The sequence below is a fragment of the Homo sapiens genome, chromosome 14 (assembly GCF_000001405.40).
Source record: "Homo sapiens chromosome 14, GRCh38.p14 Primary Assembly".
Lineage (NCBI taxonomy): Eukaryota > Metazoa > Chordata > Mammalia > Primates > Hominidae > Homo > Homo sapiens.
The window spans coordinates 97613842-97630056 of record NC_000014.9 but is presented as its reverse complement, the minus strand read 5'-3'; positions in this window follow the sequence as shown (position 1 = coordinate 97630056).

Sequence of the window (16215 nt, the reverse complement as noted above, 5' to 3'; positions counted from 1 at the left end):
ATTTTGATCCCAAAAATACTGAAAAAGAAAAAGATAGGAAAAATGCCCCCCACCAAATACCTCACCATATCTCCCTAACTCCATAGCTGCCAAATTTCCAGTGGAGTGTGTGTGTGTGTGTGTGTCTGTGTGTGTGTGTACTCACACGCATGTGTTAGTGCCTTCCTGTTATTTTAATGTTGCTTCAGTTTACTGTGATGAGGAGACTAATTTCATGTATAAAAACATCACAAAGAAAAAAGACAGCTCCTGTCTTCAAGGAAATACTTAGAGACACCAGTATTTGATAAGTTGAAAAGGAAGAGTGAATGCCAATCATTTCTGTAGCCTTAAATGCTCTCATAAAATGAAGAAATGATAAAAAAATTATACTGGGTCAATGATGACTTACTTTATGAGACATCAGGGTCAAAATGTTGTCTGTAATTGCTGAGTAAATTGCTGAAAGATATCTAGGGTTCAATCCACTCATTCTGTGTACAAGGAAACTAAAAATGTCTGGTAACTTCCTTGGATCACACAGCCAGAGTCATTTAGGATACAACCTACGTCCCTGCTAACTCCTTGCCCTATGTTCTTCTCAGCACAGGTCATCAACTGAAAATTAAACAAAATCATTTTGAAAATTTAGCCAGACTATATTTCTCCAGTGCCCAAAAATGTTTCAAGGATGAGATAAGACTGGTTTGAAAATAAATGGATAATGAACATTGTGAATTTTCCTAAAGGTCACAAGTTGGACAATGAAAAGAAAGAAATTTAGATACTACATATTGAGGTAGGTCTTGCAAGGTGGCAGAACCACCTTTCTGTAGAAACTCATTGACACGGGCAGACCAATTAAATTGGGAGGGAGGACTGGGCTAGGAATGCTAAAAATAGTGATATCTAATTGCAGACAAAGGTTTTAGTAGGTGTGAGGGAGCCTTCCATATTTGCAATTGTTATTCTCTTGTTCCTCTTCCCTTTCCTTTTCTATTGTTCCCTCTCATTTCTTTTTATTGGCTACCATGAGAAAGAGATAAGATGCTGGAGGTGACAGCTCTGATTTGGCAGTGCCCTGAAGATTTTGTTTTCCTCTAGTCTTAATACAGAGCACTGTCTATATTGCAAAGTATAATAATGAATTTAAAAAATTGGCCGGGAGCGGTGGCTCACGCCTGTAATCCTAACACTTTGGGAGGCCGAGGCAGGTGGATCACCTGAGGTCAGGAGTTCAAGACCAGCCTGGCCAACATGGCGAAACCTCGTCTCTACTAAAACTACAAAAGAAAAAAAAATTAGCCGGGAATGGTGGCACGTTCCTGTAGTCCCAGCTACATGGGAGGGGGGGTGGGTGCTGAGGAAGGAGAATCACTTGAACCCAGAAGGTTGCAGTGAGCTGAGATCCCGTCATTGCACTCCAGCCTGGGCGACAGAGCAAGACTCCATCTCAAAAAAAAAAAAAAAAAAATTAATGAACGTTTCTGATTGAATTAATAAAAGTTAGGTCTTACAAAAGAAGGGGAACAAGTTCGTTTGCATCCGCTACTCTGGCCTCGCATGGTATTGATGACTTGATGCCAGATGTCCCATTTGTTTCTCAGAGACATCTTGTGAAATGAGACCTGGAATCAAAATATTTATATATTAGAAAACAGCATTGCCCTTTTTTTTATTAGTTTTTTTTATTTTTTATTTTTTGAGACGGAGTCTCGCTCTGTCGCCCAGGCTGGAGTGCAGTGGCGCGATCTCAGCATTGCCCTTTTATATACAAGAATCCTGCTAGCCAACATAAAGGGGCCCCAGATGGAGGCAAGAAGGAAGACCTATGACATCTGAGTGGACCAGATCCACCACCAAGTACCATCTTTCCCCTTTACAGCAAACGATTCATAACCGAAGATTCGTGATGCTTCCAAACACTAGAGATTATTGAGAAACCATAAAGGAGTCTCCAAGTGAATTTGATCTTAAGTTACCATCACTGCTAAATAAATACAATTATTATATGAAAATGACTTGTCTCCACATCTGATTAGCAGCTATTCTGTGACTCTCTTGAGATTAAAAAAAAAACACACTTTTTATCTTCATTTCTCTTTTGAAGTTTTACATTCTCATCAGCTAACACATTGCCTGTTATTTAATAGGCATTTAACAAATATTAGGTAAATAAATAAATATAGCCAAAAATCAATCAAATCGAAAAATACTAGTTTTTATGGCACTCAAGGGCCTTGGGCTTCTGATAATCTGAAACAGTTCTCTGCTATGTTCCTGTTTCTGTGATTTTTGTATCTGCAATTCTAAATTTGGTTGAGTTCATTCAACGTTTGAGTTTAAATATCCAAATTAAATATCAAGAGACTATCATGAAAATTAATATATTTATTAAGAAGTATGTCCTCTAAATTCCTTTAGTATTTTATTTTGATTGAAGGTAGGTAACTATAAATAACTTCTGGAAATGACTTTTTAAAGCTTCGGAGCACATACTTTGTGTCAGATGTCATCCTGAGCATTTTCATATATATCATTTAATCATCCACAACCATGCATATGATGTCAATCTTATTCCACCTTCTGACGACTCACTCCAGAATGAAGGACCACATCCAAGGTCATTCAAATAGTGGTGGAACTGAAATTTGAATCCATGTGTGTCATTAGTGGCAACCGAATATAAATATAAAAATGAAATATTCTTTTAAAAATAACTCAAGATTCTTGAGGATCAATCATGAGTGCACCATATTTACCCAGACGCTCTGTCAAAGAATGCCATTTATCAGGAAACTACTTCTCAAGAACTTTAACAATTTAGTTTCTCAAGTGATTGATTTCGGAGTTGACTCTCATTAGATTCTTGCAGGCTATGTTTAGCAAAATGGATTATGTAATCCATTTTTTTGAACTGAATTTTTATTATCAAATATATTTTCTAGTCAACTAGTCACGATTGAACTTTTTGATGGCTTCAACTTCAAAACTACTTCTTACATAATTTTAAAATCCAGCACTAAAAAATATGTTGAGAAACATAAATTAGCATTTCTAGAGGGGAAGAATGAATGTGCATTATTCAAATTTTCTCTGGTAAAGTGGTGAAGTGGAAGGACTAATGCAGTGTAATCACTCTAACCCTTGCCAGTATATTACTGTAAACAAGTCAGTTCATCTCTTTAAGCCTTGGTTTTCTCATCTGCAAATTGGGAATCATAAAAACACACATCTTTTCAAATTGCTTTTCAAATTGCCATGAGAGCACAGAGGAAATGTCTGTAAACAGAGTTTGTAAAACTCTAAAACAAATGCAATTTCTAGAAAGAGTTTGCGGTGCTACAGGCCAGTCTTGCTTTCTATGTTGACAAGAGCAGGCTCAATTTTCGCCAGCGGAACAGTCATCAGCACTTACTCAAGAATGAATCCATACCAGCCAGTTATGTTGAAGCAGTAAATCAAGGTGGCGCTATGACTGATAGACCATTTGTTTATTATTGAGTCTATTGTTTTCAATTGTTGTGTCCACCACTTTTCACTCTTAATCCTGGAAAGTTAAAGAAGCTTCATTGAAAAATATCATAGTTATTAACATCATCATAATTACCTTATAGTGATTAAGTGGATCATAATGATATGTTCATTCTGTCTTCTGTTTAAAACACAGTCTATGTGGGAGAGAGCCCTGATGCCTTTGCAACAGTCGGGTGTGTACCATCATAACCTGGCATATTTCCAGCTGGGGTAATTGCATTCTGTTCACCAAAAATTCCCTGTAGTTTTCCCTGGAGAAGGTCTCCCTCATTTCCTGCTCAAAACCAGCTGTGCTGTGGGGCTGGAAACAGCTGCCACATCGCTACCCTGAGGTAGCTGTGTTTCAACACGGGTTCAAACGAGGCTTGAGAGAACACCAATGAGTATCCAGACATGTCTTTAGCTGTGAAAAACAGCAAAGCCTTCCCAATCACACATATGAGTAGATGCTATAATTGGGGAGGGGGATATAGCTTTATTTTTGCATGTATTTTAAAACAGAAAAAGCTCATCCGTTACATAAGATCATGTACGTCCTGCTGCCACAGCTCTAATCGGTGAACTAACAGTCTATTTTATTTTAATTGTTCATAGTGAAAGATGACCTTGTGCACCTCCTAATTAATTACTGAGTTTCTTGCAGGACTCTCCAGTTGGAGCTAAAATTGATAGAAAACCTAGACCTCTTTCTGAACTATAATGTTGCAGATGTATTTTTGAATGAGAACATGATTCTGTTTACATGATGCTTAGTGAAAGGGACAATGTAGATGTTTGTGGCTTCGTGTGGGCCTCCCATAAAACCCCATGCAGAAGATGAAACATGACACCTGCTTTGTAAGCCATCCAAGACTCCTACCCCCAGTCCATACGTTTCATATGTATGTAATCAACTTTTATTGGTTCTTGAATTACATTCTGTGAGCACAGAACTCCCCTTTGCCAATTTGAGCACAATCACAGAGCTTGGAAGTGTCATTAATAAAAGGCCTTGTGGTTTGAGCTCAGTGAAATGTTTATAAGAACTCTCGCTTCTACCAATACTGATTTTGGTGGGAGAAAAGATTTAGAGAAGATATTTCACAAAAAGAAAAATAGATGGCATCAAAATAGAACCTTTATAAGCTAAAGGTGAACAAACTTTCATTCATTTGTTCTCTACTGAGTGCCTCCTGTATAAAAGATATAAAGTAAGTATACATGATCTAGATGGGTCCATCCAGGAACTCACACAGAGGTGACCTATTCCTAATCAATCAAGTGTTCACAGAGTGTTATCATCTGAAAGGGAAGCATGTAATCACAGAAGAATATTTATAGAAACAGCAAGTCATAAATACACCATGGTCCAAACCAGAACTTTCTGTTCATCTTTGCACATTCAGGAACTCAGTCAGGTTGGCAGAATGGTCTCATGTCTAGACTGACAGTAACCAAGCTCATTAAAGTCAGATGTACAGCTTCCAAAATGTTATTTGACTCAGTTTGACAAAATGCTCAAAATACTAATGTGGAACAAAATATTTACTCTTTGTAGGTAGATACACCGAGAAAGACACTGAGGCTTAAAGTTGCTTAGTGAGCAGAGCATCAGGGCCCAGAAAGTGGAGACGTGGTTCTGACACCTGGCTAGGATAACTCCACACCTGCATCACCACCAGAAAGACTCTGTGTGAGGGACTAATTTTACTTGGACACTTTTTGGGCACTGTCAGGTCTAGATGGCTGGATGTCCCGTTTTTGTGGCCTTGGCTGCTCATAAAGGGTTTTCTCCTGATAAGCATAACAAAGGTATCTATTTCTTACATGATATCCTCATTCCGATTCTAATTCTCAGACATTATTGTTGAGCCCCCGGATTGGGATTTAAGCTGTACCCACACTTCAATGCACAGTGAGAAATCGTTTGCTAGGTTGGAGCCCACAGAGGGCTAACACACCCATTATGTGTGGATTTGATTATTTTAAATCTCAGAGAACAATATTGATTCCAGCGTTAGCAACCACCTATTGTCACCTCCAGGAGGAATCAGATTGTGTGCAATGCAAACTTCATCCACCATGCACAACCCACAAGCATGTACCTTTGTACATAAGGTCCTATTTTGGTCTGGGTCCCATTTGGGACCTATGTCTTTCCTATGTCCCATTTGGTCTGGCTCTTCATCTTCTGCATGTAATTCTAAGCCATTCGCATCTCCCAGGCTTCCCTTTTGCCTTTGATAACTTCTTTGCATGTACCTTCCTTCAAATATTTCTTACATCTACCTCTTTCTGATTATTCTCATTGCTGTTATTGCGAATCAGATCCTGGCTACTTCCAAACTGACCTACCATGAACATTTTATTGCCTCTGAACCAAGCTTTCACATTCATCAAGTCACTTCCCAGCACAAAACTCTTCACTGGACTCTCTACCCTATAGCCAAGATTCCATACTCCTTAGCCTGGATTCTGAGACTCTCCACAATGTAACCACAAGCTATATATAGTCAACAAAGTACATCTTTCAGCATCTGAAGACCTGGACTCTAGGTCCACTTCTACTGGTTATAAGCTTAATAAAACCATTTCAATACTGTGAATCTTAGGGGTATTTTTTACCTAGGGAAACACAATACTTGTCTACTGCAGTGGTGGAAAGGATCTCAAGAATAATCTTCTGTAGAATATCCATGCCTCTGAACTCCTTTAGTCATACTTCCAACATTCCCCTTCCAACTTGCTCTTCATTTCTATGTCACCCTAGGATCAGTTGCCTATCTCCCTGGCTGTAGGACAATTTTAGAGTCCACTCTGATCATTAATTCTTCTCACCATCTCCTCTGCATTTAGGCAAATTGGGGTAGATTCCAGATCTTTAAATAGTTTTAGAGAGAGCAAAATCATGTTAGGCAGATTAACAACAAATAACGAAAGCCCTGAAATACTAGAGAAATCTGTTCTTTATTCTATAGACAGTGGAGACTCCATAAAACTCAAATGATGGCCAATATCAATATAATATGCTACTTTCTGAGGAATATTTAATCCCTTAACACTGAAGACAAAAAAAAAGAAGGAATGAATTCAAAGAACACATGCAGCTCTGGAAATTTTATTGGACTTACTAAAGAGAATTTTGGTCTGAGAACTGCCAATTGCCATCAAATCCTTCTAGTTAGATCTCTGCTCTAAATGGGATTAAAATCAGTAAAACTTAAGTTCTTTCTCCCCTGCTTCTTCTCCCGCTCCTCTTTTTCTTGTCTTTCTCCTCTCTTCTTTCTCCTTCTTCATAATTGTCAATGTGTTGCTATTTACAGAGAAAATACATTCATATTTGTTTTTCATTCATGAAGTAAGTTGGATGACTGTGATGCTCCCTGTGTACAGACTATGCAATCAAAGTTCACACAGAACTAGTAACTTGCCTGAGGTCACACAGCTAGTAAATGGAAAGCTATGACCTGAACTTTTTTCTTATAAATCTAAGATTTGTGTTTTGTCTTTAAAAGCAGTAGTGCTTTTATCATCATGCACTCAACTATTAACAAGTGTTCCAAATTTTAAGCATTCTTGCAACTGACAGGTTTAGAATGAAACTCCAAAACAATGAAAGAAAATAAAGCAATCTTTTACATAATAGATATAACAGATAAAATAATGTATTAATGAACAACTCATGAATTTATTTTGCTTTTATTTTCAAAGGAAGGGGTCAAAGCTCTTTTATTCTGGAACAATTATTGTATTTCTGTCTTTCTGCCTATGCCTTCCATGTATTTATCAGGGCAGTGGGGAAATACAGGCATACTCTCCTAAATCATGTGTCTTCTGGCTTAAAAAGTGAGTATCTTCTTTTCAAGATGACACTTCAACTGAATATGGATATGAAGTTGCTGGCAGAGTTATCTACCCACATTAATTGTCTTCTTCAGAGTAATTATTGTCCACTTACTACATTAAGGGTAAATTTATCATTTTCTCCCATTGTTGATCAAATTTTGGATTTCATTCTGAAGAAAGACTTCACAACTGTGCTAAGAATACTTCACCAAGAATGCATGATGGATCTCATTAGTTCTCATGCTTTGATTTTCTTGAACTTCCATGGGAGTCCCTGATTGGGGTCCAAAGAGGACTCATGATAGCTTTCTAATCTGGGTGGAAAATAGGATTGGGGTAACAAGAAAGAAGAAAGATGATGAAGTCTCTGGGGCAAGCTTTACATGGAATCAGGATTTTAAGTCAATGTAACCCTAAAATATTTTTTTCAGTTTATTTATCCTCTTATTTTTCAAGATTGGGAAGCAATTTCAAGGACAAGGGACTTGCCCAAAATGATGAGGCTGGTCAGTGGCAGCTGGGGTTGTCCATTTATTCATGCATTTGCTTGAACTCAGAGGTCCCCAGATGACACTCCCTCACTGGGTGTCATGCTGTCTTCCAATGGGCCACTGTCATGTCCTTTAAAATGCTGGTACCTTGTCATTCCTTCTTCATAGAATGACCTTTCTTTTGTTTTTTTTGTTTTTTTTTTTTTTTTTTTACATGCTTTATTCTCTTTGGTCATTGCTAAAATGTCACCTCTACAGAGACATCTTCACTGACCATATTTTCTGTAGTAGATCTTCTCCTCACTTTCTCTCCCTGTGTTACATTTCTCTACATCACCTTTCAACTTGTCTGTTACTTGTTGCTTTAAACTTGTTTGTTACTCATTGTCTCCATCTCATATTGGCATGTAAGCTCCACTGCAGGCAGGATCTTTATATAAAGCAGGGATTCAATTAATATTTGACCAATGAAGGTTGGAGGTTTGGATGGGTGGATAGATGGCTTCATGTTGTGGAGTCACAAGAATTGCAAGAGCCAATTCGACTTATGAAAGGCCCTTAAAAATACAGTCTTTTATTTAGTTTTGTTTGATTTACTTTTGTTTCCCCATAAAAATTCTGCAAATCAGAAACTTAAAAAAAATTATCTGTGTCTAGGAGGGTAGCTTGAGGTCTCCAGCCATGTATCTTGCCAAGTGTCTCCAAGATGCTGCCCCTTCCAGGCCTTGAGGATTTGCTCTGGCCTCTGTGTATGGGCAGGGGAATATGACTTCGCTCGTAATAGCAAGGGCTAGTGAATGTGATCTGGAGCCAGGAATAAAATTCGTAGTAAGACTCTGGAACAAGAATAGTGAGCATGAGGTGAGAGGAATGCTCCTCAAAAAGCCTGTGGTGTGGCAGGTTTTGCAGAAAGAGAGAATGAAAGACAACAGGGGATGGCTAGCCAATGAGATGGCACAGGCTTCATCTCTTCTCTGTTTTGGCTAAAATCCTCATATCTATATACTGACATGTAAATCACCATAAAATGTTGGAGAGTCTTCTTTTGTGGCAAAATAATTGCAGCAGATATCAGAAGACCTATATTCTGATCCCACGTCTGCCTTGAGAAGTCATGCCTACTTTCTGTGCCTCAATTTCCTTATCTGTAAAATGGCCTTATTTCTAAAATCCTTGCCCCATCTGAGTCAGAAGGTTGGGGAGCTGATGAGCTAATTTTCTAATTACTTTGCTTAGTTGTGAAGTCGTACACAAATGAGCAGTCTCACTTATCCATCATAAAATCTTACTAAATGGTGTCTTGCTTTGTTTGGTTCAGAAAGAAATGTTTATCCTGATCGTGCATTCTGAGAGTTCACAGGAATTTTAAATCTAATTTGATTTGTCTGATTTTGACTTTCCCTCGACTTCCTATTTCAAAAGTGAAACTAAAGGAGGATCTATTTCTCTTTGGTTTCAGGTTCTAACAGTGGGGCTTTTTTTTTTTTTTTTTTTTTTTTTTTTTTTTTTTTTTTGCATTCTGATTGCAAGCACTGCCTAACAAAGCCATATTTAAACGCAGGGAAATGTCACTTACATGTTACAAAGCTCACAGAAGCAAGTCTGTCTCTGCTGAATCTTTGAAGATGCTGCTTAATAAAACCGAGAGATCTTTCTGTCCAACAAAACCTCTGTGCATATTTTTGATGAAAGGGGTAAAAAGGGAAAAAAGAGCAAGGTGATCACAACAATGGTTTTTCATTACAGTTAGATACCTCCAAGGTTTAGCGTGGCAAAGCCTATCAGAAAAGATTGGGTATTAATTATGAAGGTACACTTCAATTTATCAGCAAAGGATATCAAACAGGCCAAACGCCACAGTCTCTCATATAATTTATCTCTTCCTTGTAGGGAGGCAGATAGCAACGATTTGCAAATTGCCTCCTCTGCAAAAAGAAGGGAGAAAAACATACACACACAACACACAATTAAAAGCAGATAAGCATCAGGCAATGTGTCACATTTTCAGCAGAAAGCCAAAAGTGGAGGTCTTAATCTCTGGGGTTGGTTTGCTGCAAATGCACTCCCTGATACTTCCCTTGACGTGACTATTTAACTCCTATTAAAATTAATAGGGGTCAGGCCTGATCATCAAGGGAGAAAGGGCCTCCTGGCGCAGATAGGCTTCAAGTAATAAGGATTTGGTGATTACTATATTATTTGTCCGTTCATTTTCAGATTATCTTGTAAGTGTGTGCTCCTTGTGCTCTTTGGTCCAATTATGAAGAATAACATGTCGCATAGAATCTATTTTTATTAAAGCAAACTTCTTTTCTTAAGAAGCATATAATTTGAGAGGGCATATTGGCAGGATCCTAATGCAGAGAGCTCAAAACTTTTTCCCCCAAATAAATACTGTCACTTTTTCTAAACTAGGTGTACTTTTATGAATCAACTGGGACCTCTGACCCAAAGATTGGGACAGCATCAATCCATAGAGAAATCCCACTCAAACATGACTTGGGTAATAGGAGAGTGTAATTTTTCTGAAAAAAAAAAAAAAAAAAGTGATCTGAACTTAGAGTCAAATGATAAGCAAAAATCTAAAATATCAGTGCTTAACAAAATTATCTGGACTCAGTTTACTCTTCTGTTAAATGGGGAGAATAAAAACACAGGCCTCAAGATCATTACAAAGACCATGAAGAGTGATGTGAGCTTGTACAAGGTGCACCAGTCACCTAACACCAGACTCTCATCTCTGCACTGAGGTGATTCAGGAAGAACAAAAGAGTCAACATCTATTTGCAATTTTTCTAAGTACTGCAGACTCCGAATCTTGCCAATTAAAGAAATTAGAACAACAACAATAATAAACATAGTAACATCAGCAGCATAATTTTATACAAGAAAGGACATTTTAAAGGCACAGGGACAAAAGCATTTCTTTGAAACAAAGAAAGTTATTGTCATGAAAATCATGCTGCATCTCTTATTTTTCTCATTTCACTGCAGACTGGTGAAAACAACCTCTCAAACCACCTCTGTTCTACAGGTAGGCATTTAGAAGCCTCTGAAATGGACCATCAGGACAGCCACAGATAAGTTCAGTAGCTCACAGAGAAAGTGATGATTAAGCAAGAAGAAGGCAGTTGAGCTTTTTCTTACTTTCTCATCTGCAGATCAAAATGCCATAATATACATACACCTAAACAAGGGTACTTCTGTCTCAATTTTTTGTCAACCTTTACTCTCCTTTTCCACACATGTCATTGGATCAAGCTTGCTACTTTTACTGCTTGAATCATCCTTCATAAATTTTGGTTTGATTAAAGCTTTTTGGTTTCAAAGTCTATTTTGTCAGATATTGATATTGTATTCCAGCTTTCTTTTGGATTGTACTTTTACAGTCTTTTTCAAAAAACTTTTTATCCTAAACATTTCTGTGTCATTTGTATGTGTCCCCCTTATAAATAGATTACAGATGAGAATTGTTTGCTTGTTTGTTTAATTAACTTTTTATTTTAAGATAATTCTAGATTCACAGGAAGTTGTGAGAAATTGTAAAGAGTACCGTCATAACTCTAGTGTGCTATCACAGCCAGGATATTGACAGAGGTGTGGTCAAGACACTGAACACTTCCATTAACATGAGGTTCCCACTGGTTACCCTTTAATAGCCATGTCCACCTCCCTCTGCCCTCACCCGTCCTAAACCCATGGTAACCACTGCTCTCTTCTCCCTTTCTACAATTTTCTTATTTCAAGAATGGTATATAAATGGAATCACGCTGGCCAACATTTTGAGATTGACTCTTCTCTCTCAACATAATTCTTTTGAAATCCATCCTGATCATTGTATAAATCAAATTAGTTCCCTTTTATTGCTGAGTAGTATTCCATAGTATGGATGCATTGAAGTTTAACAATTTACTCATAAAATGATATCTAGGCTATTTCAATTTTTTTGCTACTATAAATAAAACTGCTATATTTGTGTACAGATTTTTGTGTAAACTTAAGTCTCCATTTCTGTGGTATAAATTGCTCATGTCTCTGATATAAATTGCTCACTAAACATTGCAATTGCTGGATCATCTGGTAATTACATATTTAATTTTTGAGAAACTGACAAACTGTTTTCCACGGTTGCTATACCATCTTCCATTCCCACCAACAATGTATGAGTGATCTGATTTCTCTGTATTCTCATCAGCATTTGATATTGTCACTATCTTTTATTTTAGCCATCCTGATAGATATGTAGTCCTGTCTTGTGGTTTTAATTTGCATTTCACTCGTGGCTAAGACATTGAACATCTATCTTTTCATGTGCCTATTTGCTATAACCTATCCTCTTTAGTAAAATGTTTTGTTATTTTTTGACCATTTTCCAATTGGATTGTTTGAGCTTTTTGTTTGTTTATTATTGAGTTTTGAGAATTCTTTATATAGTCAGGATAATTGTTCTTTACCAGATATGTGGCTTGTAAATATTTTCTTTTATTCTGAAGCTTGTATTTTCATCTTCCTGACAGTGGTTTTAACAACGCAAAAGCTTTTAATTTTGATGAAATCTAACTTATCCATTTTTCCTTTGATGGATTGTGTTGATGTCAAGTCTTTGCCTATTTCTAGATACTAAAAATGTTCTCTTATGTTTTTCTCTAAAACATTTATGGTTTTACATTTAAGTCCCTCATCTCTTTTAGATTTATTTTTTGTGTAACATGTGAGATGTAGATCATTTAAGTTTTTTTTTCTTTTTCCCCTGGATGTCCAGTTGCTCCAGCACCATTTGTTGAAAAGGTTATCCTCCTCCACTGAAGTGTTTTTGCATTTTTGTCAAAAATCATTTGGTATATTTGATTTGGTATATCTGTTTCTGGGTTCTCAATTCTTTTCCATTGATCTACGTGTCTATTTCTATTCCAACACCACAGTTTTGATTACTGTAGCTATATAAAAACGTCTTAAAACTGTGTAAACAGGGTCTTCCCACTTTATTCTTCCTTTTAAACATTGTTTTAGTTTTTCTATTCCTTCTGCTTTTTTATATAAATTTTATAATAATCTAGTCTATATGTACAAAAAAAACTTGCTGGGATTTTTATAAAAATCACATTAAACCTGTCTACCAATCTGTGGATTGCTGACATCTCTACTATGTTAACGCTTCCGATACATAAACATGATATGTTTTTCAATTTTTTAAGAATTCTTTTTATTTATTTTTTATACACATTGTGCACATGTTTATCTGTTTTATACTTAAGTATTTTTATTTTTGAAATCTTTATAAGTGGTATTGTATGTTTAAATATTAGTGCCCATATATTCATTGCTACCATACAGAAATGTAATTAATTTTTTTTGTCTTATATCCTATGATTTTGTTGAACTCAATTATTATTTCCAGGATTATTTTGTAAATTTCTTGGGATTTTCTACTTAAACTGTTTACTTTTTCTGTCCTTTTATAAAACATCTTTAGGCCAGTCACAGTGGCTCACACCTGTAATCCCAACCCTTTAGGAGGCCAAGTGGGATGAATTGCTTGAGCCTGGGAGTTCAAGAACAGCCTGTGCAACATGGCAAAATCCTGTCTTTACAAAAGCAATACAAAAAAAAAATTAGCTAAGCGTGGTGGTACACTCCTATAGTCCCGGCTACTTGGAGGCTAAGGTGGGAGTCCTCCCAAGAGTCCAGGAAGTCAAGGTTGCAGTGAGCCACAATCACTCCAGCCTGGGTGACAGAGCAAGAACCTGTCTCAATAAAAAAATAAAATAAAATAAACAGAACTCTTTAGTCTCAACGTTTATGTTTCATTGTTTTATGTATACCTCTTGCAAATAGAATATAGTTGGAAACTATTTTGTTTTTGCTTCAATGTAAATACCTTTCTTATAACTAGCAAGTTTCACTTATTTACATTAATTGTGACTAATAATAAATTTAAATTTATTCAATAATTTTATTTTTCTATTTTTCATGTTTCCTTTGATATTTTTACCTTAGAATCTCCCTTCTTTTGAGTTAATTGAATTGTCTTTATTATTTTATTTTATCTCCTCTTGTATCTGTGTTTTCCTTTATATTATATGTAAACAACATATTTGACATTGCTGGAACTTGTATATACCACCCAGGGGCCCACAAAATAGGGGCTCATGAACTAGCCCACTCAGAACCCACCACCATCACCACTGGCACCAGTGTATACCATTTAGGGGCTTGAGAATTGGCCTACCCTGAACCCACTGCTGCTACTGCCAGAATTTGTCTCCTCCAGTGGTGGGGTCACTACATGGCCATGTGTGCTCCTTAGGGACCTGAGGACCTGCCCTGCCCCCAGTAAAACCACCTCACAACCTTTACAAACAACCACAGTCTAAGCCACTGAGGAATTTGCAGACAGTGCTGCTTTTCTTACATCCAAAGAAAGCATATAGAGACTACGCTACTGTGCCCACCGAGAACCAAAGTTAAAGCATGCTGCCCAACCAACACTATCAATACATCTACAGGAAAAAGTCTTTCCCTATGAAAATTACTCTATAAAATTGGAAGAAGTGACTGTTATACCAGATATGAAGATATCAATGTGGGGACACAAGAAACATGAAAAAAAAAAAAAGGAAACATGATAACTCCAAAAGAAAACAATAGTTCTCCTGTAACAGCTCCTGAAGAAAAAAATATATAAAATGCCTGAACAAAATAAAAGTAATGATTTTTAAGGAAACTCAGCAACACACAAGAAAACAGAGATAGAAAATGTGAAGAAATAAAAAAAAGAACAATTCATGATCTGAATGAGAAATTAAGCAGAGATAGATAAAATTAAAAATAGAAATCTTAGAACTAAATAATTCAATGAATAAAAAATGCAATAAAATACTTAAACTTGATTAGATCAAGCAGAGGAAAAAATATCCGCACTAGAAGACAGGTCTTTTGAAATAATTCAGTCAGACAAAAAAAAAAGTAAAAGATTTTTTAAGAAGCCCATGTGATATATGTGACACCAGTAAGTGAAAAATATTTACATTTTGGGAGTTCCAGAAGGAGAAAAGAGGGGGAGAGTCACAGAAAAGAAATTTAATAAAATAATAGCTGAAAACCTCCCAAATTGTAGGAGAGATATAGACATTCAAATACAAGAAACTTAAATATTCTCAAATAGATTTGACTCAAAATGGTCCTCTCTAAGGCACATTTTAATTAAACTGTCAAAAGTCAAAGACAAAGAGAGAATTCTAAAACCAGCAAGAGTGTCAAGTCACATGTAAGAGAATCCTCATTAGACTAAAAGCCGATTTCCCCCCAGAAACCATACAGGCCAGGAAAGAATGGGATAATATATTCAAAGTACTGAAAGAAAGAAAAAAAACAGAGAGAGAAGAAAAAAAACTATCAGCCAAGAATATTATACCCAGCAAAACTATCCTTAAAAAGTAAAGAAGACTGGGAGGCTGAGGTGGGTGGATCACGAGGTCAGGAGATCGAGACCATCCTGGCTAACACAGTGAAACCCTGTCTCTACTAAAAAATACAAAAAATTAGCCAGGCATTGTGGTGGGAGCCTGTAGTCCCAGCTACTCAGGAGGCTGAGGCAGGAGAATGGCATGAACCTAGGAGGTGGAGCTTGCAGTGAGCCAACATGGCACCACTACACTCCCGCCTGGGTGACAGAGAGAGACTCCGTCAAAAAAAAAAAGAAGAAGAAGCAAAGTATTTCCCAGACAATTAAAAACTAAGGCAATTTATGACCTCTAGACCTACCCTACAAGAAATGCTTAAAGAAGTCTTCCATCTAGAAATGAAAGAACAGTATCTGCCATCATGAAAACACACAAAAGTATACAACTCACTGGTAGAGCAAAAACACAAATGAGAAAGGAATAAAACATAATCACTACAGAAGGCCACCAAGACCTCAAAGGCAAACAATAAGAGAGCAAGAATGGAGCAAAATGTATACAACACAATCAGAAAACAATACACATAAAATCACAGAAGTATGTGCTCATCTATCAATAACAGCCTTCAATGTAAAAGGTTTAACTTATCTTATTAAAAGATACAGCCTGGGGGAATGGATTAAAAACAACAACAACAACAAACAAGAAGAATCAACAGTATGCTGCCTACAAGAAACTCATTTCACCTTCATCTGTAAAGACACTATAGACTGAAAGTGAGGGGATCAAAAAAGATAGTCCAGCCAAACAAAAACCAAAAGCATGCAGAAGTAGCTAAACTTACATCAAACAAAATAGACTTTAAATGAGAAAAACATAAAAAGAGACAAGGTCATTATGAAATGATAAAGGGGTCCATTCAGCAAGAGAATATAATAATTATAAATAGATATGCACCCAACACCAGAGTACTCAGGTAT